Source organism: Homo sapiens, chromosome 14, assembly GCF_000001405.40.
Source record: "Homo sapiens chromosome 14, GRCh38.p14 Primary Assembly".
NCBI lineage: Eukaryota > Metazoa > Chordata > Mammalia > Primates > Hominidae > Homo > Homo sapiens.
Window position 1 is genome coordinate 72,642,841 of NC_000014.9, and position 26,895 is coordinate 72,669,735.

The window sequence follows — 26,895 nt, forward strand, 5'->3', positions numbered from 1 at the left end:
GATATGAGCAGAGGAAGAACCTGCAGCTAGTATTCTGGCCTAAAGAAAGCCATGTTTGGATACTTTAATGATCCTTATAACTTTTCCAAGGAAGCACCTTTCTATTGACTGATTTTGTTTTGATTCCCCGTGGGGATCCTGTGAGGTGGGCAGAACAGATAGGAACATTCCTGATTTACAAATGAAGAAGTTGAGGCTCAGAATGGCTCAGGCAGCCCGCAAGTAAGTAGTGGAGCCAGGGCTAGTGGAACATCCATGTCTTCACATTCTAATCCTTTGGTCTCTCACTACACCATGTCCTAGGATGGCCAACCCAAAAGTGGCAACCCAATGGCATTTCAGCTCCTTGTTTAAGCTGCTAAATATAGCAACATTTTCTCCTTGCATGCATAAGAAGTTTGCCAGGGCATGATGAAATATGTCACTGACTCTCTCCATGCCTCAGTTTCCTCCATTTGCACCACATAAGGGTGAACTAGCTGTCCCCTCAGGCCCCTTTAAGCCTCAATGCTCCATGCCTCTAGCGAAATCCCTCAAGAAGCCAGACTTGCTTACATGAGGCAGAGGACTGAGTCCTCACCATCTGGCAGTGACTAATCCTGGAAAACCCTGGGGAAGAATTGCTCAGGAGTGAGCCAGTCCAGCCCACACAAAGGGGCCTGGAGGCTGCAGGAAGTAGGTCAGCAGCCTATGGTGGTGTTACTGGGCTTCGGCTCCTGACAGAAGCTCCTCAGCCCCTGGCTGGAGTGAGGAGGGGTCATGCCCCCCGCCACCTCACAGTCCCACTCAGACTTGCCAGGCCAGCTATTCCCACTTGCAGCTGGGTGTCCAGGTCCTCCCTAGGGCTCCCCCAAGTGACCGCCCATCACCAGCTTTCCCTGTGAAGCCTCTGAGAGGAGCACAAAAGACGGCTGGCATCCAAAGCCAATTTCACACCACACCTCCATTACACTGTCAGTCAAGAAAGGACAGAAGTGTTCCCCACTCACCTTGTCTAAGAAAGGAACAAAAGAGCACACAGGAAGGATCCCCTTTTTGTCATCACAAGACTATACTACAATCGAGACACCCACAACCCCACCCCCACTGGAGACCCCAACGAAGCCTCACTGGCTCCTTTCAATCCTTTTCCCCCTTTCATTCTCCACCTCCCGATTTCCCCAAGTCATGAATTCACTTTCCAAGTTGCAGTGGCAGGAGAATGGAAAATGAGGATGATGATGGTGACAACCAGCTTTCCCTGAAGTCTCTCACCCAGGTGTCTTGAGCCCTGGAGACACCTGATGTCCTTCAACACCCTCAAAAAGAAGAAACAGCAATTGCACTGAGCCAACACTGCATACGGGAGAAACATCCTTGGAGCTCCATGGGAGTACAACAAAACCCGGCACCATCTGGCGTCGTATTACCTCTGCATGCATTTGCTTCCAAGCCCCAACATCCAGGCAGCACCGGGTCTGCACTCCTCCTGTATCTGTGATCACTAAACCCAACTGATAGATCTGTTTCCATCGGCCAAATTTTCATCTAAGATTCATCCACTTTTCCTGACAATCAAACAAATATTTATCCAACAAATTCCTGAATGAGAATTGATCTCGCTGCTTACTTAGAAAGCTAGAGGGGATGATTTTTACATGGGCTTTCTTTTTTTCCTCTGGAGAAATTAGAGAGTTGGAATAGTACAAGAGAAAGCAAATCAATGGCTATTTCCAGTGACCAGCATCTGTCTTCAGGTTTAATAGAAATGATGCCCTAAGACATATAGTCTATTTGGCCTATTCAATACAAAAACACCCATCAATATTAAAGTAGTGCAGCAGGAGGGCCTTTCCTGGTACTTTGTAAGGGTAGACAAGAGCCTCACAAGTGTTCAAAGATTCACGAGGCCCTTCTGGATAAGCAGTGACAAACTCCATTCCATAATCAGAGAAATGAAACCATCAACCATCTCTAAAATGGCTCTGGTTCACCTGAGCATTAGGTGTGAGAGAATTAGGAATACATCACCAGAAATCTGACCTCCTTTCAGGGATAGCTAAATATGTGGCACGTATACCACCATTCTATCCCATACCCAGGGCAGACATTACTAATCAATTCAACATTGTCTTCCAATCTGCATGGATAAGACCTTATGATCCTTTTCAGCACAGCACTCCAAGTGGCTGTCACTGGTCTAGAGTTTGCATACAAGAAGAAACCAACTTGCCATCCCTGAGCTAGGCACTATTAAGCTGAATAGGTTAAAAGTTTCATGTGAGAATTAAGGACTCACATCTTAAGCAGGTCACTGGTCAGATATATAACTTCTGTTTTCCTTTCCATGAGGCAGAAACTCTATCACAACAGCTAAGACCCAAACCAAATGGTGGCCATGTTTTGTGGTTGGACTCAAGTATTGCTACGGTCACATACTTCTGTCTTCAAAGCAAACAGAGATGCTAAGAAGGGATTTTTTTTTTTTTTTCAGAGATAGGGTTTCACTCTGTCACCCAGGCTAGACTAGAGTGCAGTGGTGCAATCTTGGTTCACTGCACCTGCCGCCTCCTTGGCTCAAGCAATCCTTCCTCCTCAGCATCCACGTCCCCCTACCTGCCTCCCCCAGTAGCTGGGACTACAGGTATGTGCCACCATGCCTGGCTAATTTTTAAATTTTATATAGAGATGGGGTCTCCCTATGCTGCCCAAGCTGGTAAGAAGGGATTTTTTAATGATGGCTAATATTTTTTCTACTCCACCAGCTAGAAGGCATCAACCCATTCCTCCTTAAGTAATTCCTCTGTCTTTCATTGCCTGCAGCATGAAGTAAGCTTCTTAGCATTGCAAGCCTCTTTGCTGTCTGGCCACAGCTGCCTTTTTAAGATTTCTCTTCTTTTCCCACCATGGACCCCAACCCCACCATACCACAGAAAAGTATTTGCCACATCCCACACCCTCAACGCTCCTACACCCCCCACCCCCCAAAAAACCACTCTTCTTTTTGACTTGCACTTTTGCACACAAAGGTCTCTCACTATCTCTCAACTCCCATTCATGGCCAAACCTGTCAAACAGGTTGTCTACACTCCGGCTACACAAAAGTGGGCCCATCGACCACTTGCATGAGCATCCCCTGGGGGCTGGTTAGAAATGCTCACCCCGGATCTGACCTAGGGACTGCAGTTTTAACAAGATCCCCAGGTGATTCGCATGCACAGGGTATTTTGAGATGCACTTCTCTAAACTCACTCCCTTTCTGGGACACCCACTCAGTCTTCACTCTCTCCACACTGACTTCCCTCCTCTCTTTTCCACCAAAAAAACTCTCATCAAAGGAGTGAATGTGTCCATGCAGATATGAATAAAAGAATAATAAACTACTACTTCCACCTTTTGCCTGTCCTGGGAACTTCTATTCATCCTCCAAGTCCAGTCCAAAAGACCTCACTTCTGTGATGCCTTCTCTACCCTCTAACGCAGATAAGGAAACCAAAGTCCTGGGAGGATGGGATATCTGCTTACAGCTCTGCAGCCACTAAGTGGAGTCCACCTGACTCCAAGCCCATGAGTGCCCTCAGCATCGCCAGTGCACTGCCTTTACGAAGTGCATCCAGAAAGATGCCCACAACCTCAGATAAAAGCCCTTTGGCCACTGTCAGGGACAGGACTCCAAGGCTGGAACCAGTAAAACAAGTCTGACTTTGCTGGTGGATGAGACCCCATGGAGGCTGCTCATAAATCAGATTCCCTTGTTTAAGTTCTTAGCCCCTGATGACTACTGCTTACCCAGGCCTCTCAATCTCCCTGAAGACCTTTCTCCATCCCCTTCCTTCAAACACACATCCCAGGCACCCATCTCTTTTGCCCTCCTTGCCTCCATGCGGAATTTTTCCTTTGGAGAACAAGGACCTCAGAGTGGAAATGTCCATCACTGGTCTTCTCATTTCTCCAAGCCACAGCAATGCCATTTTGGCGACCCGGCTGCTCTCAAACTTCAGAGTTCAGAAGAATTACCGGGAGAGATGTTTTAAACATGCAGATTCTCAGGCCCCAAAGCTTCTAATTCCCCTGCCCTGGAGTGGGTAGGAATCTGCCTGTTTAGCTAGTGCCCTGAGGGGGCTCAGATGCAGATGGCCCTGGACACACTTGGAGACCCTCTGCTGCCAGCGTCTCCTGGGGACTCTTGCACATCAGCAAGCTGCTCTATAATGCAGCGTGTGGAACCTCAGCCAAGTCTTCCCACCACTCTCATCCTGAGTCAGCCTTGCTCAATGAGGGCTCGAAAGCCTTTCCTGCCCACCTCATCCTTCTTCTATTATGAGGATCAAGACCATGGGCTATGTACTACTGCTTTGTTAAGCTGGAAAACTTTAAAAGAACAAAAGGCCAAGGTTTACCACTCTTCTGCTTTGTTTTGGCACCACTAAACCTCTACGCCCATTCCCAGAAATTCTGTATTTCTTTCAACCCCATAGCCCATTGTCGACATACCCGTAAGTGTTTCAGACAGGCCTGTGATTGTTGCATGCAAAGGACATCAATCCATACTGGCCTGTATCCAGGCACAAGCTGTCTTCCCGATAGCAATTCTCCTTGCCAGAGACCTGTGGGTCTCCTGCATAAACAGGAGGTCTTAGCTTCTCTCAGCAACTTGAGACAGGCACCATATACTCTCTCCCCAAGATAAGATCTTTTAGAAGACAAAGCATTTAGATTATTTCCTTTGTAGGATTAAAAACAAACACAAATGCCCATTCCAGTATTTGTAGGACTGATTCAACTGGAGTAGTAGGAAAGATTTAGGATACATTTAAGACACGGTTTCCATTGTTTCACTATGAAGCTTTGAGTATCTTTGCAACCTAATTAGATTGCACCTATTAAATGATGACTGGATTCAACAGCCCTAGAACAAGCATTACTTTTGATCATTTTCTATTTTAGCGTCTATTCAACTATTTTAAGAGGAATATACCTGAGCCAAAAATCACGAGGAGGTGGCTAGCAGTAGCAAGATTGGTCCTAATTTATTGAGGGCAGTGAGGCAGACACCATCAATTCTTTAATCTCGCCAGGAGCTCCAGTCCACGGACAGTACCACTTCTCACCATATCTCCTCTCACGTCGTCACTGCTCATGCACCTATCTTAGATTCCACATCCAGCCTTGCACGTGTCTGCCTACCCCTCTACCCCTTTTTCCTACTTACTCAACTTCCAGTTAATACCAACTCTTCACCTACTCTTGGCCTATACCAAGCACAGAAAAATACACCACTGTGCTGAGCAGTCGTGGTTTCAGTGGTGACCACAGATCTTGTCATTGTCCCCGTATTTCACTAGTCGAATTATTCTCCCATCTCTCTCTGTCTTTTCAAATCTCCCATATCTTATACCCCATCCTCACACTCTCCTTATTTAGTTGAAAAATACATAAACAATCAGAATAAAACTATTGCGCCAGGCGTGGAGGCTCACGCCTCTAATCCCAGCATTTTGAGAGGTCGAGGCAGGCAGATCACTTGAGGTCAGGAGTTCGAGACCAGCTTGGCCAACATGGTGAAACCCCATCTCCACTAAAAATACAAAATTAGCCAGGTGTGGTTGTGCATGCCTGTAATCCCAGCTACTCGGGAGGCTGAGGTGGGAGGATTGCTTGAAACCAGGAGGCAGAGGTTGCAGTGAGCTGAGATCATGCCACTGCACACTCCAGCCTGGGTGACAGAGTGAGACTCTGTCTCAAAAAAGAAAAAAAAAAAAAAAAAAGAATAAAACGATCGCATCTTCTCCATGCCACACCCACCCAGCTCCCCGCCTCTGTATCCCTACGCTTGTCTCCCTCCTATTACCGGGAATGAACGGTCTCAGCTCCTAACCCAAAGCCGACTGGCACCAGGATCCCTACCTCTCACCCTGAGAATTTTGCTCCTGCTGTTATTCCCTCTTGCATCGTCAATGTCTCTCTCTCTCTCTAGTAGACCATTCAGCCAGCATACAAACAAGCCATAAAAGCTCCCATCTTCCAAAGAGATCCTTCCTGACCAAGCATCCCCCTCTGTTGAGCGTCCAATTTCTCTGCTCCTTCTTCTTTTAGCACAACTGGAAAGGGCCAGTTCTCTCCATGCCCCTCCTTTCCACACTCTCCCCTCTCCACACACTCGCCTAGCTCTCCTCCCACCTCGCTGGCTGCCCCTTCTTGGTCTTCTTTGCTGAATCCTCCTCTTCTCCCTTTCTCCCAGTTCTTCCTTTTATGTGGACTCACTTCCCCTCAATGTCTTCTATACACTTGTTATTCCCAATTTATATCTCCAGCATGAACCTCTTTCTGAATTCCAGACTCATATATCCACTTGTCATGGTGGTTGGGAACCCGAAGAATAGAAAGTTAAAAAGACCTAAGTTAGGAAAGGATTTTGTGGGAAAATCCTCATCCCAAGGGGTGATGAGTACCCTGCCAGCCAGGAGGGGAGCCTTCAGCTGGGGGGCTGTGGAGTCTTTATGGAGGCAGGAGGTGGAACTCACAGCAAGCAGAAAATTAGTTGAATGGCACCAGCTTTAGGAACTGCCAGGATGCACTTTGGATCATGAATAAGTAAAGAAAAGAGGTCATCACAGGTTCCAGAAGAGTGAGGACAGAGAGAAGCAACAAAGTGAGAAGAGGAAGAAGGAAGGAGACAAAGAAGACAGGATACAGAGAAGAAGGGGGCTGGAAGGAGTGGGTGAAAGAATAAGAACTCAGAAAAGAGATTTTGGTTCTTGCTTATTCAGGAGCTTAACCAGAATTCTGTCTAAACTCTTTAAAAGATGCAGAAACTCAATTGTCTCACTCATCCCTGGGTGGGGGGGGGGATTAATGTATTAGTACTATTGCTACAACTTTATGAGGCGCTTCCTATGTGCTAGGCACTTTGAACACACTTCCTTATTTACCTCTTAAAACAATCTGTGACTCAGGTATTATTGTCTCCATTTTATAGACAAAGAAGCTGAAGCTCAGAACAGCTAAGTAATTTACTCAAGACAACCCAGCCAACTGCTGGCAGAGACAGGATGAAAACACGTATCTTATTCCAACCAACATCCATGCAAGTAACCACTACACCGCTCGGCCACAGGAAACAAGCACTGGGAAAGACCCTTCCCCTGACACAGGAGGCCGAGCGGCTGATGAGCAAACTCCAGAGAGCACTGGGCTCTGACCATCCGGTGGCCTCCCCTGCCAGAGGGCTGGGGCAATAGACACATCCCCACCTGTGCTAAAGTCCTGCTTTCCTCTCCACAACCCTCCCGCCCCATCCACACTCCACACTGCCCTTGAGGGAAAAATGAGGACCCAGAGGATGGCCTGGGGATGAGGGGGGACTGCTCATTAGCTACCCAGCCGTGGTAGCTAATCTAAGATCCGGGAATAAAGGCCCTCCCTGAATGACCCCAGGGCAAAACCAGGTCAAGGCCACTTCCAAACCCCGCCCCGACAGAGTTAAAGGCGAGGATCTAGAAAGGCTGAAAACACAAAGAAGTTAATCAGCTCCCTGAAATGAAAGGGGAGAAAAGAGACTGGATAAAGGGATCAGCTGAAGGAAGCAGCCTGGCTTGGGAGAGAACACTCCACTCAGCCACGAGTCCACAGACTCAGGCCAGCACTGCCCCGGGGGCCAGGAGATCTTGGCGATGGCTCTCTGCTGTCTGTTTCCTTCTCTGTTAGACAAGCTCTAGGGTCTTTGCACCTGACAGCTGAGGATAGGGCAGCACCTGTGGCCAACACAGCCTCATCTGGAGTGGGTCCAGCCAATGCTGTGACCAGCGGCTCTCTGTAGGTGCACACCCCATAGGTACCCTGGATCCACACAGATGCCCCCTCTAATTCCATGCTGCCTCTCCATCTGCCTCTTCAAGGTAAAAGGTGGATGGAGCTAGGGGGTCAGAAGGAGTCACAGGGATGGGTGAGCTAAGAGGACAAAGGAGGCGTCTCCCTCCAAGACAGGATCAGCGTGTGTGGGTGGGAGGTATACAAAACGCCATCTCTCCTCCACAGACACCCGGGAACACTGCCTGAAACTTCCACCACTGATGTCGCTCCAGTGGCTTAAAAACCACCCTTCCAAAAATCCCCAGTTAAAATGCAAACAACTTTCTTAAAGAGGATAGCACTATCATGGGTTCCTCACTTGATCAACTCAGACACTGTCAGAACCAGAGTGAATCTTGGAGACCACCAAGTCCAACCCCTTCTTTAGACACAGAAGGAAACCAAGCCTCTAAGAGGTAAAGTGACTTGCTCAGGGTACAGGAAGAGGTGGCGCAGAGCTAGAACTGTAACCAGGTCTCCTAAGTCTTTCTGCAGCATGGCCCTGGCCCCTGAGGGAGGTGGCCCAGGATGGGGGCGGGCAGGGGGTCTGGAATCTTGGCATCGTGCTCCGGGGCTGCTCCTTCTTCCTGTTCAGCCACCACAGCAAACAAGAGCCCCTGGGGCCTCAGCCAGCGACTGACCCCTCCCTGACCCTGCCTTCCGGAAGGATGAATGCACATCAGAAGCCAGGGCCAAAATATTCCTGGGCACTGTCTGCTGTGCACCCAGCTCTCTTTTTCCCAGCCTCTTAGGAGGGAGAAGTTTCCAAAAGGGACAGCTCCAAAGGCTTTCACAGAAGGGGAGCCTCTCTAAGAAGTGCTCCTGTGTTTGGGCAATGGAGGCAAGTCAGGAAGACAGGGGGATGGAAGAAGAAAGTAATTTTTTGAATGTCACATTTTCACCAAAATGGCATCTGGGAACTTTCAAGATCATCTGACTAATACCAGGTTGTATTCGTTATTTGCAAAGATGGAGGTGGAATCTCCTTTGAAGTAGTACAACCAAATGATGTCTGTAGCCTTAAAATGGGGTAACAAGAGGCAAAGAAATCTGGGGAGAGGAAACGTGTCCTGCCAGGGGCTGAGGGTCTTTTTTGCTCTCCTCCTGACAGTCTCACAGCCAGCCACGTCGTGGTAGGGTCCCACAGAGCTGCCCAGCATGGGGCAGGCTGGCCAGAGCAGCTGGCTCTTTGCAACCACCCAGATTGCCTTTGCTGGGAAGCTCAGGCTCATTTGCACACTGGCATAACTCCACGTCACTGACCAGCCCATGGGCAACAGGACTCACAGCCAGGATGGGTTCTCCCTGGGGCTGGCACGACTCTGTCACTGCACATGTGCATTTTCCTGATCCTGGGCAAGTTACTGAAACTTTCTCAACCCCAGTTCTCCAGCTATAAAATAGGAACACCCCCTACATCACAGGATTGTCACATAAGGGAAAATGAGGCTAGAGAACCTGGGGTAACGTGGAATTGACTCTCAGTGAGCCTGGTTCCCTTTCTCTCGCAATAAAAGCCGGCACCACCTGCTCCAAAGGTAAAGCCTATGGGGAAAGTCTTTCCCAGTGAGCCCTGAACAAGACAGAGGGCCCTTCCCCACAAAGCTTCCCAGGCTTGGAGAGGCGGGTGGTCCCCATGACTCATTGGTGGTGGTGGGCTGACTCATTTGGCCAACTGTCCTTAATTTCCCTCCTCCCATTTTGGGAGTCCTGGAGCATTCGTTCCCCAAATGAGGCTTGCAGCCAGAATGAGCTGTGATTAGCACAGCAGAGACCAGAAGGATGGTGCTGGGGGGAGGCGGGGTAAGCTGCAGAGAGTTTCCTGAAATTAAGGCAGGAGAAGCAGGGAGGCAAGGTCTTTCTCCCTGGGCCATTTAGCAGACAGAGACTTCCTTTAGAGCCAACCTTCTCAACCTCTGCTGGGCAAAATCAACTCAGAGGACTGCCTGCAATAGCCCTAATATGGCCCTCAGAGGCAGACCTGGGGTGTTTATCACAGAGCACACCATGAAATTTCAAACCACTATGTAGGTAACATAGGTGGGTGCATAAAACAGAACATTGCCCCATTGCACTGAATGCACAATGAACAGTGGGCCCCAGAATGCGGGCTGTACCAGATCTACATAAATATTACAATCTGAAGGCAGATGAACAAGAGGGAGTTTGCAAGGGTTGGGTGAGACCACGCTGTACAAGGCCCAGGTGCTGTATAGATGATGCAGAGGTGGGTAGGGTGGGAAGAGAGGTCAATGTGAAGGCTCACATCCAATTGTTTTTCCTTTCCTCAGGAGGAGGATGGATATTCTTCTGTTGTGGGTTTCAATTCCATGCTGTCAAATAACCTCTTTAGTCCAATGCTCTGCCACTTTCAGCCAGGCATAAGCAAGACAATTGTCACTGAACATTATTGGGAGTAACATGCAATGGCACATGCACTAATGCGAACATCAGAAGGAAGACCCGGAGTCTAGTCTAGCCCTATCACTTCTGCACAGCTTTGGCCTGAGTCACTTAACCCTTCCGAGTGCTGGTCTACTCATCTGCTAAGTGGGACAATCACTTCTGACAAGGCTGCTAGGAAGATTACATTGAGAGTGCACTGGTGATTATTCAGCATGTCAGGGAGGGCCTACCACTCCGGGCCTCCACGGAGTGGATGGCTAAGATCCCCTGACTCCCAGTGCACACTCCTCACACATGGCTGCACCTCTTTCGGCCTCAGGGGCCAGCGAGGAGCCTACCGACAAGGTGAGGTGAAGAGCGAAGAGAATCAGTGATGGAAATGGAAGCCAGCAGTCAGGGCTTGCAAGCTCAGCCCTTCTCAGGTCCTCCAAGAAGTAAATCAGCTGAGGGTCAGACCCCAAGGAGCTTCACGGCCAGCAACTCAGCCTGGTTTCCTCTCTTTTCCTCGCATCACATTCAGTGACCTATCAGTCTAGATAGAGGGTGCTTTTTCAAATAAACCCTTTTCCAACTTGTCTAGGAGAACAATCATAGATTTTGATCCCAAAGTTAAATTGGCCTGTCAGATACAAAGCTTTCTGGAGCCAGCCAGCATCTCAGGATATCCCACACTCCTCCCAAATGCATTACCACCCAGCAGGTAGTGTCATCGCAGTTTCTCTGGTTTCAGAATAATAACTGGTGGGAAATGCCCATGGAATTGACACTCAGCACTTTGAAGATTTTATCAGTTGGGTAAATATCACCCAGAAGACAGGAGAAACTGGGGTTCTGTTACGACATCTACAACTAGAAGGAGTGCTGATCACTTCTTTTCCCCATAAGGTCTAGGATCCTATAACCACGACAGGATCAGAGGCAACCTGGTGGTGAAAGGTAGACAAACCCAAACTCCTTACATGCCCAGTTCAGCTGTCCTCACAATCATCCTACACATCACATGCATCCTGCTCAAGAGCTCGTGGCCAGCCTCCTCCTTCCTACAGTGCCCTAATGCCCTAGTGAATCAAGCCCCACCACAGTGTGGACGCTCGTAACATACCTGTGACTCCCCCCAGCAGCCTGGGATCTTCCTTCCACTCCATTCACGCTCATCTCTGCTCGGGCTCCAAGCCTCCTGGGCCCATTCACACCTCTGAGCCTTTGCTCAGGTATTTCCCACTCTTGCTCTCAGTGGTCTGCCTTCTATTTGTCTACCCCAACTCTATGCCTCTTTCTATACTTCCCCCGCTACTCCAACCTGCACTGGTCCCTTTCCTGAGCCTAACTGGCACTCACATTTTGCACCAAGTTGGCACTTAATTTTAAATGGTCTTGTCTTGAATAATATGCTAACCACCTCTTTCACCTCCTCCAGAACAGAAAAGGTGCCTTACACAGTGGAGAAGCCTTTAGAGCCAGAAAAATCCTTGATTGGAAAAATCAGACTTTACCAGCAATCACCACTGCCTTTGTCAACTCAATCTCTCTGAGCCTCAGTTTCCATCTCTGTAAAATACGAATTGTAATCTTAATCTCAAAGGGCTGTTATATGGCTTTAACAAGTTAATATCTATAAAAAGCCTAGACTCAGTAACTAATGCATAGAAAGTAACCCCCAAAAGGTTATTCCAGTTCCCCTTTGTTTCTTTTATGTCTTGCAGAACCTAGCACATTATGGCAACACAAGACATTTGGTATATGTTTGATTCATTTATAAGTAGTATAAAGAAAACCAGTAACTGGAGGGTCATTATACAAAGTAGCAGCATGCGGTCAAAACACATGGATCTATTTTTCAATTACGGACAAAAAGTTGAGATCTATGGAGGGTAAAACAGTCTACTTTAACTAAAGAAGTTTTCAGGATTACAAACTGCCAGTCTCTCTGTACTCATCACTCAGCCAAGCAGAAGTTTCAGCACAAATGTTCATGCTGGCAATTCATACTACATTCTTTCTTACATAAGTTGTCTCCATCCCCAAACTCCATAATATGTATGGTCCACAGAAAGTTCACTTCACGTGCTAAATGTGGTACAATCCTTGCTACTTCTTTAAATCAAACACAGAGCAAAATTTTTCTGGAGTTCTTTTTAAAATTATTTAGAAAGAATGCCGATCACTTCTTTTCTGAAGCAGAATTTTTGTCATTTATCTATATATGTAACATATATAAATATAATTGTATATATAATTAAATTCGTCTTCTAATAAGACCTTTCCTCCCCAGATTGGAGACAACATAGTAGACAACCATGAATATTAGTGAGGTCATTCAACCAAAATCATGCTGAGAATAATATCCAAGTCCTGTGAGCAATTATGAAATCCATGCACCAAAGATGATGTTGGATGTGGTGGTGTCCAGTGAGATGAAAACTGGAGTGGAATTCAGATGGAGTTTCAGCAGAACCATTTTCACCTGGTGGCCTTTTGGCCTTACTGTTCTTACAGTTTCTTCTCACTGTCTCTTTTTCACATACTTGGCATTTCTCTGGAGGAAAATGTGTCTTGCCACTGCATTCACTTTTCAGCTCGTGGCTCATGCTACCAAAACAATGGAAGTCAACAAAAGGCTTGAGACATTGCTTCAGTGTGAATATAAACAAGCCTAGAAATGTAATTTTAGTTAGTGATCAGAATACATATCCGTGAAACTAATCTTCTCCACGTCTCCCCACTTCCTGGTGGTGAGTTAGGCACCAACTCTTCCAGGTCATCTAGCTATAATGTAAAACATTACAGAACTAAATGGGGACCCCAAGAGGTCATCTAACCCATGCCCCCAACTCTATGCAAGAGAAATGCTTGGCTATCAGTGAGTTCCGCATCAGCCTCGACAGTCTAAAATGCTTGGTGTCAAAAGAACTGCTTGTCTATTTGTTTTAGGCACCAAGGTGTTTCTCCTGTGCTCCCTGGAGACCAAATGTAACTGGTCAGTGCCTTTATCTCAGTGATACACATAACAACAGCTATTAAGTGACCCCTAATTCTTTTCCCCAAGTTAAACAACCCCAAATCCACAAACCTTTCCTTAAAGGGCTTATTGTTCATCCTGTTAAACATATTGTTAATAAGCTTTTCTGTACTTTTTGGATTTCCCACAGTCTTTTTCCGCTAATTCAAACACAGTGGTGTCAAATATTAAATAGAGCTGAAGCATTGCTTCCCAGACCTTCCACATCATTCCTAGTTTAACGCAGCTTGGTTATCATGCTTTCTTAAAAATAAACAACACAATACTCCTCCAGCTTGTGATCCACTACGACTTCCAGATCTATCTCAGCTATAATTGTGCCTTGCCAGGTGATGGCCAATAATACAATCAACATAATCCAGTCAAGCAGATTGATGCTAAACCATTGATGACCACTGTCATCACCTCTCAAAAAAGTATTTCCTAGTCTGGTGTAAAGAAAGATCAGGTAACCAAACGATGTGTGTCGTTCACACAATGTTTAATAAAATACAAAGCATAGCATTTTCTAACTTTTAGTTTGAAGACTCTTTCTCCTCCTGGTCTATGCCTGAAAACTAACTTCTGGGTGACTTCATATGTGATCACAGGGTAGAACTTGGAGAAAATGAAACAGATATTTAACCTGCTTATCCCAAACACTGCCCCTTTTCAGGAAACTTGGAGGTAACTGGGGTAACTTAGCAATAAACCCCGCTGAAAGTTATCCTGAGGTCTGAAAGTCACTGATCCTCTCAGCACAATGGAGTATCCACTAACAATGGCTAAAGAGCATCTCTTCAATAAACTTAGCTTGACTACTACCACCTATCATGACTAGCTCATCGACCACCCTTCAGGATCATTTCATGTGCAACTAGTAAGAAGGTTTCAATTCAGTAGTAGGTCTGGCATCAGTAATCTTCTCCACCATCCAAGGAAGAACATGTTATCTTACTGGTTGTTTTGGGAGGTGAAGTAAGAAGTTGGGAAAGTGTGATTCTGAATATGAAGAATCTGAGTACTTAGGAAGAAATATATCTCAGCAACATCCTCAACATTCCATAATTAACCACTTTAAGGAGCCACAGCCATTAAAGAATCTGTGCTGACCCCAAAGAGACCATTTCTCTAATGGCAACAACTCCACATCTCCCAAGTTGGGCCCCACTCATTGTCTCCTATCATTTGTCTCATACAGATGAAACTCTACCATCTATGTTCACTTAACTCATAAGACCCAAGTTGCTAGAGATGAATAATATTAGTCATGATGTCCACAATGGAGAGTCGCTGTTATGCATTGCTGGATTATTCATAGACACTTCTGGTAAACATGGCACTACTGCAGTTTGGACTCTGTACCAAAACTAGAAAAACTAGTAAACAGCTTTCCAAAATCTTGTGGTGAGATTTTTCTGGCTGTGAAACATTTGTTGCATTTGGCCATGAAATAGTTTACAGTACTGATCATGAAATGCATCAGTAGCCTTTCACCTGGTAATGTGAAATTCTCTTTCCATAGTCCTGAAGCTTAGAAAATGCCCTATTACCACCACCACCACCACCCCCAACTGAGCAGTGCAATACTCTCATTTCTAAATTAGGGATCAGCAAACTATGTCTTGTGGGCCAAATCTGGCCAACTGCTTATTTTTGTAAATAAAGTTTTATTGGAACACAGCCATGCCCATTCCTGTACATATCCTCTACAGCTGTTTTCATGCTTCACCCAGAGCTGAGTAGTTGTGACAGATGTTTGCCTTACAAAGCCTTAAATATTTACTATCTGGTGTGTTACAGGAGAAATTTGCTGATCCCCATTATAAATGATAAGGCAAAAAAATTTCTTATTCAGAATAACCTCCTCTCCAACCCAACAAAAGAAAACAAAACCAGAAAACAACCATGACCCCAGCGAGTAGTGTTCGCATACTTAAAAGCCAGCCTAACTCTCTTACAAAGTATACTCTGAAATAAGATGCATACAAAACATAAAATACTATTTGATGGCACAGTAGGGTGACTGTAGTCAGTGGTAGCTTAACTGAATATTTTAAAATAATGTAAAGAGTGTAATCAGATTGTTCATAACTCAAGGGATAAATGCTTAAGGGGCCGGATACCCCATTCTTTATGAGTGCTTATGTTCACATTGCATGCCTGTATCGAAACATCTCATGTACCCCATAAATATCTACATCTACTATGTATCCACAAAAAATTTAAAAAATTTGTAAAAGTCTATATATAAAATACTTACAAGGTTAATTTAAATTAAAATTCCGGAAGGATTTTTTTAATGAAAGGAAGTTCTGAAACTGATGATTTAGGGATATAATAAAACTCAAATATGGTTCTAGTTACATGGAGTGATTTGGGTTTCTTAGAAAAGAAGGGTAAAAGGAATGTGATGTAATAGACAACTGGTCATCAATAAGAATAAACTGAATTTTTTAAAAAATCTCTAAACTGTACAACTCTACCCAGAGTTCTAAAGAGAAGGTCTTCCAGGTACATGCAGAGGAAAAAGAAATGGATAGGGGAATGTTTTCTGGTGGAGCCATATCTTGAATCATCCCTAACATGTGCTGAATAATGACCTAGCTCCATCCAGAGACCAACCCAGGGACCCATTCCCACCACATAACAATCCTAAGTCAGGATACTGCTAGAGGCATCCATAGATTAAGGCAAAGATCCGCTGTTATGAGAATCTGAACAAGGCATGCCAACCTCAACTTCCACCTTACCCAGACTGGCAGCCCTTGGGAAAAGCTGCCCCAAAGCCATCTAAGTGTGCCCAGTAGGCACATGGTCATGTTCAGTTAGGGCACTCAAAGCTGATCTTCAGTTTTCATTTTTCATTTATCACCAACACTGAAAAATGGGGAGATCTCATCAAAATGTTTGAATTGTGACCTCCCTTGAAAAAAAAAAAGATCTGGGAACCCTGGGCCCACCTCCTGCAGGCTGCATCCCCTGAGCTGAGTCACGGCTGCCCCATTGGAAGCACAGGTGCTTCCTGGTTTGAGACACTCCCTACCACTCCTGTTGTCTCCCTGTGACCTGAGACTGAGCCTCAAGGGCTGTTCCACATCTCTCTGGCATTGTCATTTATGTCACACCTGCCCTGCTTCATTCACCAAAGATACCTGCTCTGTCAGCATCGGATTGGCAACCCCAGAGCTAACCATCTATGGTAACTACATGTTTCCGAGTGGATGAGGAACATGATTTCTTTCTCTCTTTTTCATTCTCTGGCCCATGTGTGTACTTTTGCCCTCCCTCTTGGTCAGTGACCATCTATAGACAGAAAGCACATCATTCTTGGCCTACAACCCATTATCAGACACGTGAAAAAGTCAGTCCCTGTCCTCATGGCCCACTATTATGGACATTTGATCATCCTGGATCTCCTCTATCCTTAGTTATTTACATGGATAGTACACCTTCATGCCAGACCTCTCATCCCTGTGAGCAGCCCAAAGATAGTATATGCAAAGAAAGCCCGAGTCATGAGGAAAGACACACTCTAGGTAGAAAGCACTGGCCCATCAGAATCAAGGTCCTCTTTTCTAGAGAGTAAATTAGAGGGTGCAATCGCTTCCCATGGAAGAAGATATTTTATTCCTTAGGTGACTTCTTAATTGAACCTAATGTCTCAAATTTTGAGTCACTATAGGAAGTGGGTGATGTGTAATAAATATGGGAAACTTCATTTTACTCTGTGTTCATCAAAAGATACATGGATAAGCTAAATGCGGTTTACACATGCAATGAAATACTATTTAGCCTTCAAAAGTAGGGAAAGTTTGACACATCTACGTAAATAATCCTTGAAGATATTACACTAAATGAAATAAGTCCGTGACAAAAGGACAAATGCTGTATGATTCCATTTATACAAGGTACTTAGAGGAGTCAAATTCAGAGGGACAGAAAGTAGAATGGTGGTTGCCAGGAGCTGGGGAGGGAATGGGGAGTACGTGTTTAAATGGTACAGAGTTTCAGTTGGAGAAGATGAAAAAATCCTAGAGATGGATGGTGATGATGGTTGCACGACAATGTAAATGTACTTAATGACACAGAACTATATCTTAAAAGCGGTTAGAAAGGCAAATTTTATGTAATGCATATTTCATCACAATAAAAAGGAAAAAAAAAACCCTAAGGAGGGCACCATACTGGTGTGGGGCTTTCTTTTTACTGCTAGGAAAACTTACAAAGTCCATAATGCAAGGCATAACGTGATATTCAGTCTAAAGAAAGATGGAGTACACTAGCAGCAGCATTACAGTGTCATGTTCATCTCCACTTGGCCCCACTGGGGGCCAGCAATGCTCAAAGGTCAAGACCTGGCCTGACATGCTCACCTGGTTCTGTCTGACCTAGAGGACCCCTCAGATAAGAGGGCCCATCTTCACACACAAGGAAAGCCTACCCCGGGGGTTCCAGCTGACAGCTGCACCAACCGGCAGCTTGGGAGGCTACACCAACAGCACCTTCCAGGCAATGAAAATTTTAACCTCCCACCTATTCTAAGCACACATTAAATCTTGCATTTTTGTGCAAAACTTCTATTCTTGGCACAGGTGTGACAGCAACCTTGGACAGGTATACTAAGTCGGTTCACATAATCAGGCTTTCAATCCATCAATTTTGGCCATGGAGAGGGTGATGATGGTGATGGTGATGGTGATGGGGGAGTGGGTGACAGCAACCCTGGCTCAGAGAATGAACGCTGGCACCAACCCTGGGCATTGTTCACTTTCCAGGCCACCATCTGTCAGCCAAGCCAGTGGCAACTGCTGTTCTAGACCATGCTTGTAAATAAAACAACAAGGTTCAACAAATCTTGGCATGGAAGTGGGAAGAATCATCTCAGGAGTCCCTGCCGCATGACGGCGTGAAAGTGAACTCACACAGGATGAGCTTGGTTGGTCAAGCAAATTTTACAGAGATGCTATAGGAGCATTGGAAACAGACTTTTTATTTAACAGAAACTTACACACACTTGGTACAAACCCTACATTATGCAAACCTTTATCACAGTTCTACACAGGTTGTCACTTGTGGGAGTTGGTTGGAAAGCAGATTATTATGATAATTATTAGCATTTTGACAAGGGACATTTTCTACCAGAAAACGTCAGAGAAAAGGGCTACAAAATGATACAGACACTCTCGGTGATCCCCTCCACCAACAGGACTGGCTTTGAACAGGAAACCTGAAAGGACTGGCAGGAAGTCGGTGCCCACCTGCCCTGCCCTTTCAGAGGCCAAAGAGATTCTCAGGCTCAGAACCATTTCAGTAACACTGTGACTCAAGGACCTCTGCTGACCAGAATACCCAGCCTTAGACTATTCGTGTGTTATTATGACTCTGCTTACAAGGGAGGGAAACCCAAGAGCATGGCTGTGTGAAAGCCCAGTGCAGTGGGGAGCCTGCGGGTAGAACCCAGTGGCTCAGCCAGTCAGCCCTGCACCTTTGCTGGGCCACAGACACAGCGCCGAGATACATCCCATCGGCCAAAACGCCCACTTCCGCCAGCTCAGCCAGAAAGGGCCATGTTAGAACACCCGCCGTCTTCCTTGGCTCCCACCAGCAACTGAATTTGAGGTTCTCATCCTTCAGGTCGGCCTTCCTAGCCCTTGGGGACAGCTCTGGAAGCTCAGGCCCCAGAAGCCAGCTCAGCAGAAGGTTCCCTTTCCTCATCTCTTCTAGGAGTTGTTAGGTGACTGAACTAATATCACCTCAGCTGATGCTTTTATTTTTGCTTTTTTTTTTTTTTTTTTTTTGCTGCATTATTTTAAACAAAGCTCTCTGTGTTCGAATCTATTGAACTTGAGGGGATATATTCCATCAATAGATGGAATTCCTTCCTGAGCTAGACCTCATCAGACATGATAACTAGGAGGCAGGCTGCTTCTGACATTCAGATAAAAGGGGCTTGCCTGGGGTGAGGGGGCAATGAGGGTGGGGGAAACTGCTGATTTGTGGCTAAGTTATTTCAGTCAAATCTTAACACACAATCATTTAACATCACCAACACTTTCAATAGACTTTTGAAGGAGGAAAAAAAAACTGAGCACTCCTCACTTACCACATCCAACTCGCAGAAATAAAAATACCTAAAGCACATACATGAATGGCTTTTTAAAAAGCCTGAGAGAGCAGAGTTGATCTTTATTTTCTTATTTAAAATGTGGGGCATTTTTCTTTAGAGTTAATATGCAGTCTTTTATTTTACATTAAGTACTCTTATGATTTCATGTCTTCACAAAATTGCGCTTAACTTTTGAAGTAGGAGGTACTTTAAACAAAAATACTGTGCCATGTCAGCACTTTTTTCCTTTTAAATATTGAAATAAATAAAATAGTTAACTCTTTTTTTCCATCAGTTTGTTTGTGTTCAGTTATTTCTACTGTAGAGTAATTCCAGGCGGACCTGGGTACTTTCTCACAGACAATCAAAGAAAATATAATGAAGATTTAAAAAGAAAAAAAAAATCTTCTTATTGCACAAACTGAGGCCATTCCCAAGGCTTCTGTGGGCTGAGCTGAGTTGCGCTGCAGGATTTTCCACTCCTGTGCTGGCTCCTGTGTTGTCTGAAACACACGCACAGGAGGGGGCTGGGCAAGGGAAGAGGAAGAAGAGGAGGAGGAGGAGGAGGTGCCAATCATCCTGGCTTCTTTTCACCTTCTTCGGAAATGGCTTGCTTGAAGGATGCTGGAGTCCCCAGGTCATAATGTTGACTGCAGAGGGAAAGGCAATGAAAGATAAAACAAAAAACAACAGCATGGAACAACTACTTAAAAAAGAAAGATGAAAATTAAGGGGTGACAGAAATGAAATGAATTAAAAAAAAAAAAGAAGAAGAAAGAAAGAAAACCACCAACTAATTGCCAAGTTAATGAGGCTAGGCCAGGTGCAACAAAAATCAGGGTAGTGTGTCCAGCGCCTTGAACTTCAGCAGCATGAGATCAGCCAGGAATAGGGCAGGTCAGTTGCTACTGGGCCAGAGGCAGAGAGAACACAGCTGGATGGTCAATTCCCAGGTGGTGTAGCAGGCAGAACTGGGTGTTAGCAAAAAAAAAAAAAAAAAATTCCCCTCCACTTAGAAACCAAACAAACTGAATCTTTTCACAGTTAAAACACCCCAGAAAGGACCTTTATGATGTCATCTCTCTCCCTGCCATCCAAGTAGAAATGAGTAGTTCTATGGTATAGAACCAATTCAGCCACAGAAAACCCCATCAGATGCCTCATTTGGCCTAAGCCCAAAAGGACACTGCTTCCTTCACAAGCACTCACACTCAGCCCCAACCCTGCCCCAAGTGATTCAAGTGTGTCAGAGTTACTCGGAGACAGTCCCCAACCAAGAGACCAGTTCCAGTCCTCTACTAGCACAGTGATCCCTTTGTCAGCCTTGGAACCTGGTGGTGGTTCACACAGGTGGGCCCTTTTGCCTGGATAGCCACGCATAGCTTTTGCTTCTAGCTGAAATGAAATCTGCCATTTTGGTCTTTGGAACGGAGTAGTTGACACAAAGGAGTGAGCAATGAAACCAAGTACTGCCACATTTCACCCCGGAAGCAGTTTCTGAAAGCAGAGATGGGTGTCCCAACAGTGCCTAGATCACATTAAGCTGAGCGATAAGGGAGGGAGAAGAGGGAGAATGGGCCTAAATGGAAAATGGCCAAGCCAGCAAGGAAAAAAGCTCAAAAGCAAATGAGCAGCTCAGCCTCTTCCAAGTTGAAAGGCCCCTCCCCTGCCCCACCTCTCCTGGTACCCAAGCATCACTCAATGGCCAGGTGCACAGGCCTGGATTAGATGCTCTTCCAAAGCTGAGACTCCATTCATCCAACTTTCCTCCTTGACCAAGTCCTCCCTCCACACCTGCTCCTGTTCCTTGCCTCTACCCCATCCCACCCCACTGTCTCCCTTTCTGATCCGCTTTGCTGGTGCACCCTACCCCCACTTCCCTCATGCTCTTTGCTGTCACCACCTGCCTCTAGCTCCTTCCCTTGACTGATCAAACCCAGGTGACCTTTCCTGGGACCTCCCACAGAACGCCTGCCGATTGTTCTCTCCATGGGCATCTGTCATCATTTCACTCCCTGCCAGGAGTCTTTCTGTCCCTCTCCCAGTGCCCTGACCCCTCTGGTCAGATGTTACCTGCCACTCTGTAGTGAGTCTGTCTCATAAGCTTACCCCACACCTTTCAGTTTCTTCAAATTTCCACCCCGACCTCCCAACACACACACACATGTATTTTTCCTTTGCCCCACTAAAGCCACCTAGAAAATCATGCGTGAGTCCCAACTTGGCACTCCTAACTTCCATTTTCTCTTTTGTTTCCTCTGGTCAGGTCAACTGCAGGCCACAAAAATGAAACAATGTGCAGCTGTGTTCTTAGTCTCCTGCTCTCAATCCCCTGCAAGAAGGCATAGTTTTCTACCCCTCCACACACATGGTCAACCCCTCCCCACCCCTGTCCTGACATCCCCCTTTTCTCTCCTTTACCCCTCACCACCACCTCACCACCTCCCACCTGCCCCCTCTGACTTAACCACTGGATGCTGTGTCCAGAGACTTCTCCATTCTTTCTGTCAACAATATTTATTAAGCATCCTCTATGCATAGAGTGAGATTTGGTAAGACTTCCACTAATTATCTCAGAAACTGCTCAGTTCTCAGTTTATTTCAACAAATAATTATGGCACACTGGTGTCAGGCACTGTCTGGAGGATATGAGTGATATCACCTTTGCCCTCAAGGAACACGCCATCTGTTTGAGAAGGACTACAAGCAAACATGATGTGTTGTGATAAGCACAGGAGCGGCAGGAACAAAATGCTATGGAATGGTACTTAGGCGGGTTTTCAAATGGTGATTTTTGCCATTTTACATGGGTTAGGTTGTGATTCCCAGCTTTGCTTTTTGTTCGAATATTATCTCCATTGTCTCTGACAATAGACATTCTTGCCTACAGATTCAACAGCAACGGTCCATCTGGAGCTCTTTGTTGATCTAGATGGCTTCCTCCAAGAAAATCTTCTTGTCTACTGAGATCCATGGCAAAAATAATCACATACTACCCCATGACAGCTCTTACATGATTTTAACTATTTGTGAATTTCTAGTCTGATCCACTAGGTCACAAAATAAATCCAATGGCCAATAAATTCATTGCCCCATGTTTAATTTTATCCTATCCTTGACAGTGCTGAGCAGTCACACGCATACTGTTATTACTCAGTCCCTAGTTGCCAAATGAACCGAGGTATATCTGAATGAAAATGTTATCATCCAAGGTCTGTAAACAGAATAGCCTGAAATCTCAGCTGAAAGGCCAAATGTCTGAGTCACCAGTAATGGGGTAAATCAATCACATACCTCCTGATGTAATGCACTGAGAAGGATACAACATCATTTCTAAGGTATTCTAACCAAAATGCACAACTTCAGTTTAGTCATTAGAAAAACAGCATCCAAGCCTGAACTGAATGGCTTTTGCTATGAAATGACTAACCAGTATCGAGGTTGTGAAAAACAAGATTGTAGTACTAACTATTCCAGATTAAAGGACTTGTAAGAGGACATGGCAACCTGTGAGCCCAGACTGGATCCTGGACCAGAAAAAGGACACTAGTGAGACAACTGGCAGAATTTGCATAAGGTCTGTAGGTTATAGCATTGCATCGATGTGAATTTCCTGATTGTGATCATTGTACTGTGGTTATTTGAAGAATCTGGGTGAAGGACATATGGGAATTCTTGGTAAAATCTTTGTAAGTTTTTTGTAAGTGTAAATTATTTCAGAAGTAAATTTTTTAAAAAGCCATAGTTATTGGTTGAGTTCCAGTGGTGAGATACTTTGAAAACCTAATTGCCAATGTTTTTTATCTAATAATTCAGTTCTGACAGGAATCTTCCATCATTCCCATTTATTTTGTAAACCAATCATGCAGAATGGCTTTTCCTATATTGCTATTTTGAATAGGTGATCAGAAATCACTTTTATTAAACACCACAATATTATATAATTCAATGTTTTTGTGTTAGAAGCAATTGGGTTTGTGACCAGGGCCCAAAATGTTCACTCCCTGCCACCATTACTCCCGCTACCACTGGCACCACAAAAACAGTGACCATTTAGGAAGCTCAACTTTAGTTCTCCCAGAAAGTTCATGAGGACTTAGACATTGCTACTTCTCAGAAAGATTCTAATGTGTCATAGTTTCATTTGGGGTTTCTGTTGTTTCAGTTTTTTCTTTTACAGAATCAAATACCTCCTTTTCATCCAATAAATTCTTGAATAAAAGACCTACAGGCATTTTACTGATTTCACTCAAGAAATCTTCCAAAGATGATCTTTGGGGAAGTCAGTATAGACTTAGGAAAGATTATTAGAAGATCCATACATCATTTACTGAGCCTGGAACTTTAGACAAGTCATCAAACAGGATCAAATCTCAGTTTCCTCATCAGTAAAACGGGAATAAATAACATCTACCCTACCTCATAGAGTTAAGCATCATCATGAAATAATATAAGCTACATATTCTAATAGGGAAAGAAATGTCCATTTCCTCTCTCAGAAACTGAGGCAGAGATCCCTGTCAACAAATTCACACAGGGAGCTGAGCCCAGAGCCCAGAACTTGTCATCTCCACTCTAGGCTTCCACACACCAGATCAAAGACACCTCACTCAGAAAATACACAACACAAGTCACTTCTCCTCCAAAGGCTGAGCAAAATCCCCTGAGGAAAAATTCCTAACAGATGAGTCTGCTCCAATTTTAAGTACACGTTCAAGATCATATTCATCAGATGTAACAGGAGGTATACTGGGATAAAATTAATTAATTTTATTCCACCATGAGGTGAGAACCCCCAAACACCCTTTAGTTCTCTCCCTGAGTAATGATCTTGCATTCCCTCCAGTGCTGTATAAAGCAGTATCAGTCTGTAGCCCATTAGATGCAGAGAGAGATGCAGAGTAAGCAGGAACCCTTAAAGGGATGCTATTGATGTGAACATCACATTTTTTTTTATTAAATTCTTCTCTCTAAAATACCGGTAGCAAATTGGATTACTGTCTTTATAGTACCTCTAAAAAATTAAATGCATATTTCTAATTCCCAGGGTCATAGTGATTATAGTGTCTGATCTTTACATAGTCTCTCAGTAACAGAAATAAAGGATTTGATTGTTCTAGGTAGGGAAAAAAATCAGCTAGACCATAACAATTGTCACCTTTAGGTCAACAGCCCCCCTCCCCAGGGGATTAAAATGTTGTAACAAATTTAGAAAGTTCTATATCTTTGGTTCCCCTCTCTTTGGCCTGGGACTCAGAAAACTCAGGGTGGTACTTTACTGAGCTGAGGGCAAAGGAAGCTGGCCAGATCGTTTTCATCTTGATGACTCTAATTTCTTTTGTATTTTAAATTTTGAGTAGTGATACTTATTTAACAAAAGCAACAACAGAAAGGTGTGTTGACTGTTCACACAGCTCCTACAATTCCTAAGGTCACAAAAAAGGTGATCTCTTTGTACATTGTCTAGAAGTGATGATTAAGAAGGTAAGTTATCTACAATATTCCGCAGAGAATCTGAATTAGAACTCTCTTTTACAGGATCTAATTGCTTACTCTTCCGTTGTTGAAATTTCTTTTAATGACGTTACCTTTTAAAAGCTATATTCATTACAAAAACCCTTTTCTTCAGTTGGAATTGAGAAACAGCAAAGTATGTATACATGCATGCATATATATTCCTTAATTATAGACTATGCAAGGGGCAATGCAGGCAACGATAGAGTATAGGCTCTACAATCAGGTTGCCAGGGATCAAAACCTGGCTCCTTCCTAGGTGTACATTTCTTAACCTTATTACTAACCTCAGTTTCCGCAAACTGGGGATTAATATAAACACCTATCTCATGGGAGTAGTCATGAGGATTAAGTGAAATATTCCAAGGAAAGCGCCCAGAATAATGCCTCACACAAAAATGTAGATGACTGCTATCTAGAAAAAGGGAGATAAAGATATCACATCCACCACTAAAGTGGTTGGAAACCAAGGACAGCCAGCTTCCTCATCCGACACCTTCTCTCTCGGAGCTTCCTTCCTTTGCCTTAAAACATTTCCCTCCAATGCAATGCCCATCCCAGTCCCTCCAACTTAACTCACTTAACCTCTCTGGGTCAACTTTTCTCAACTGAAAAGTGAAAGATTTGAACTTGATCATCTTAAAAGTCCCTTCCAGTTTTTAAGGGTATAAATCTTGAGTCCGTTCAAAGACTCTATAAGCAAGGTGAGACAAGATGGTCTGGCCATGCTAAGAAACCTTACTATGCTTCTATTACCCCAAGGAAGAAAAGTGAGGATATCAACTACCTCCAAGAAGAGAAACTGAAGATCAAATATCAAGCTATACTATTAAATATAAAATAGACAAGCAATACCCATTCTCAGATAAACATTCTCCTGGGAGTTTGCCTTGTTAGTTCTAAATGGTTAGTTTCTCTGTTAGACTCCAAGCTAGACTCTGAAATTAGGTAGCCTTTTATAATTTGCTTTAAATATGTGGATTAAAAAAAAAAACACCTCAAGTGTAAAGGCAAATTGTCATTGAGAATTCTGGGACTATGAGCAACTAGACAGAATTCAAATGAGAGTGTAGATTGGTTGAACATATGTTTATTAACATAGAAGCTCACATTTTATCAATGAAAGCAAGTTGTAATCCCATGAATCCAATATCTGAGTCAAAGGTACAGAGTAAAGAGGTGGAAAATGACAGCAAGTGTACATTGTATCCCCGTAGCAGAAACCTACTGGAACAAACTCTATTGGCTGACGTGTGAGCATGCAGAATATGACAACCTTGGAGGTTTATGCCATATTTCCTAGGAACAGGCCACATATAGATTAGACAGAACAACCCAAAAGTGGTTGGGATTGTTACTTTCATTCCCTCAAAACTGAGAATAAATGCCCAGGCGATCACATACACATCTCAAGCATGAGAAAAGTGGAAGCCCTTTCTGTCTCAGGCTACCAGGAAAGCACAAAGGTCTCATTTCTGGGTTTCTTGGCTTGTCCTTGTGTTTTAGGTTGGTTTGTTATTTTAAGGAGCGGTCTAATTCATGAGGATCTGCAGGGGCTGGACTGTCAAAGTAGATCTTCCCAGAGACACTGATAAGCAGTCTGTTAACCAGGCAGCTACTTGGGTCTCCCAACCCATGTCAAATGGTTCTGCCTGTGTTTCCAGAACTGTGCACTCCTGGAGGCAAGAGACCCTGGCCAACCTTAAAGGGAGTGCAGAATCTTCCAAACAGCCAAGTTGAGTTTTGTGCCTAATCAGGGATCTTCTTTAATTTGGACTCATCCCCTTGGTTTTGAAATTGGTACCGAGAGTAAGAAATACCACCTAGACATGCAGTGCCCTGTGGCCACAACCTCCCTATTCCTACCCAAATCCAGCAGCCAACTCCAACTTCAGTTCCCTGGATTTCACTTCCAGGTTTAGCCAAGGGAGGCAGAGTTAGCCAAGCACTTCCCCAGCCATTTTCTCTTGTAGTTGAAGCCAGAAGCCTGCCATTCTCCACACTGAGCCCCTCCCATAGTCCAAGCAAGACTCAGATC

The 26,895-nt window shown here is 44.6% G+C and overlaps 1 protein-coding gene across 4 annotated transcripts in view, besides 2 other annotated features; it reads right to left on the bottom strand.

The window, feature by feature from the left end:
* The window catches only part of DPF3 (double PHD fingers 3), a 285,068-nt gene that overhangs the window by 33,807 nt on the left and 224,366 nt on the right, over nucleotides 1-26,895 (bottom strand). For 3 of the 4 annotated variants that reach the window (NM_012074.5, NM_001280543.2, NM_001280544.2), the window contains one exon: nucleotides 18,210-19,993. The exons of the other annotated variant lie outside the window; for it this stretch is intronic. The gene's annotated coding sequence lies outside the window, so the exon portion shown is untranslated. Of the gene's footprint in view, nucleotides 1-18,209; nucleotides 19,994-26,895 lie in introns of those variants that run through there. 4 annotated transcript variants of the gene reach the window in all.
* Nucleotides 185-1,384: an enhancer, noted in NCBI's record as "BRD4-independent group 4 enhancer chr14:73109733-73110932 (GRCh37/hg19 assembly coordinates)". NCBI's record gives its function as "activates an origin of replication core promoter dependent on BRD2, P300/CBP, MED14 and CDK7 cofactors, and independent of BRD4, by STARR-seq in HCT116 cells {active_cell/tissue: HCT116}" and the evidence as "EXISTENCE:reporter gene assay evidence [ECO:0000049][PMID:35650434]".
* Nucleotides 8,721-9,557: an enhancer, noted in NCBI's record as "H3K4me1 hESC enhancer chr14:73118269-73119105 (GRCh37/hg19 assembly coordinates)". NCBI's record gives its function as "activates a minimal SCP1, AML or CMV promoter by ChIP-STARR-seq in primed H9 embryonic stem cells {active_cell/tissue: H9 hESC(primed)}" and the evidence as "EXISTENCE:reporter gene assay evidence [ECO:0000049][PMID:30033119]".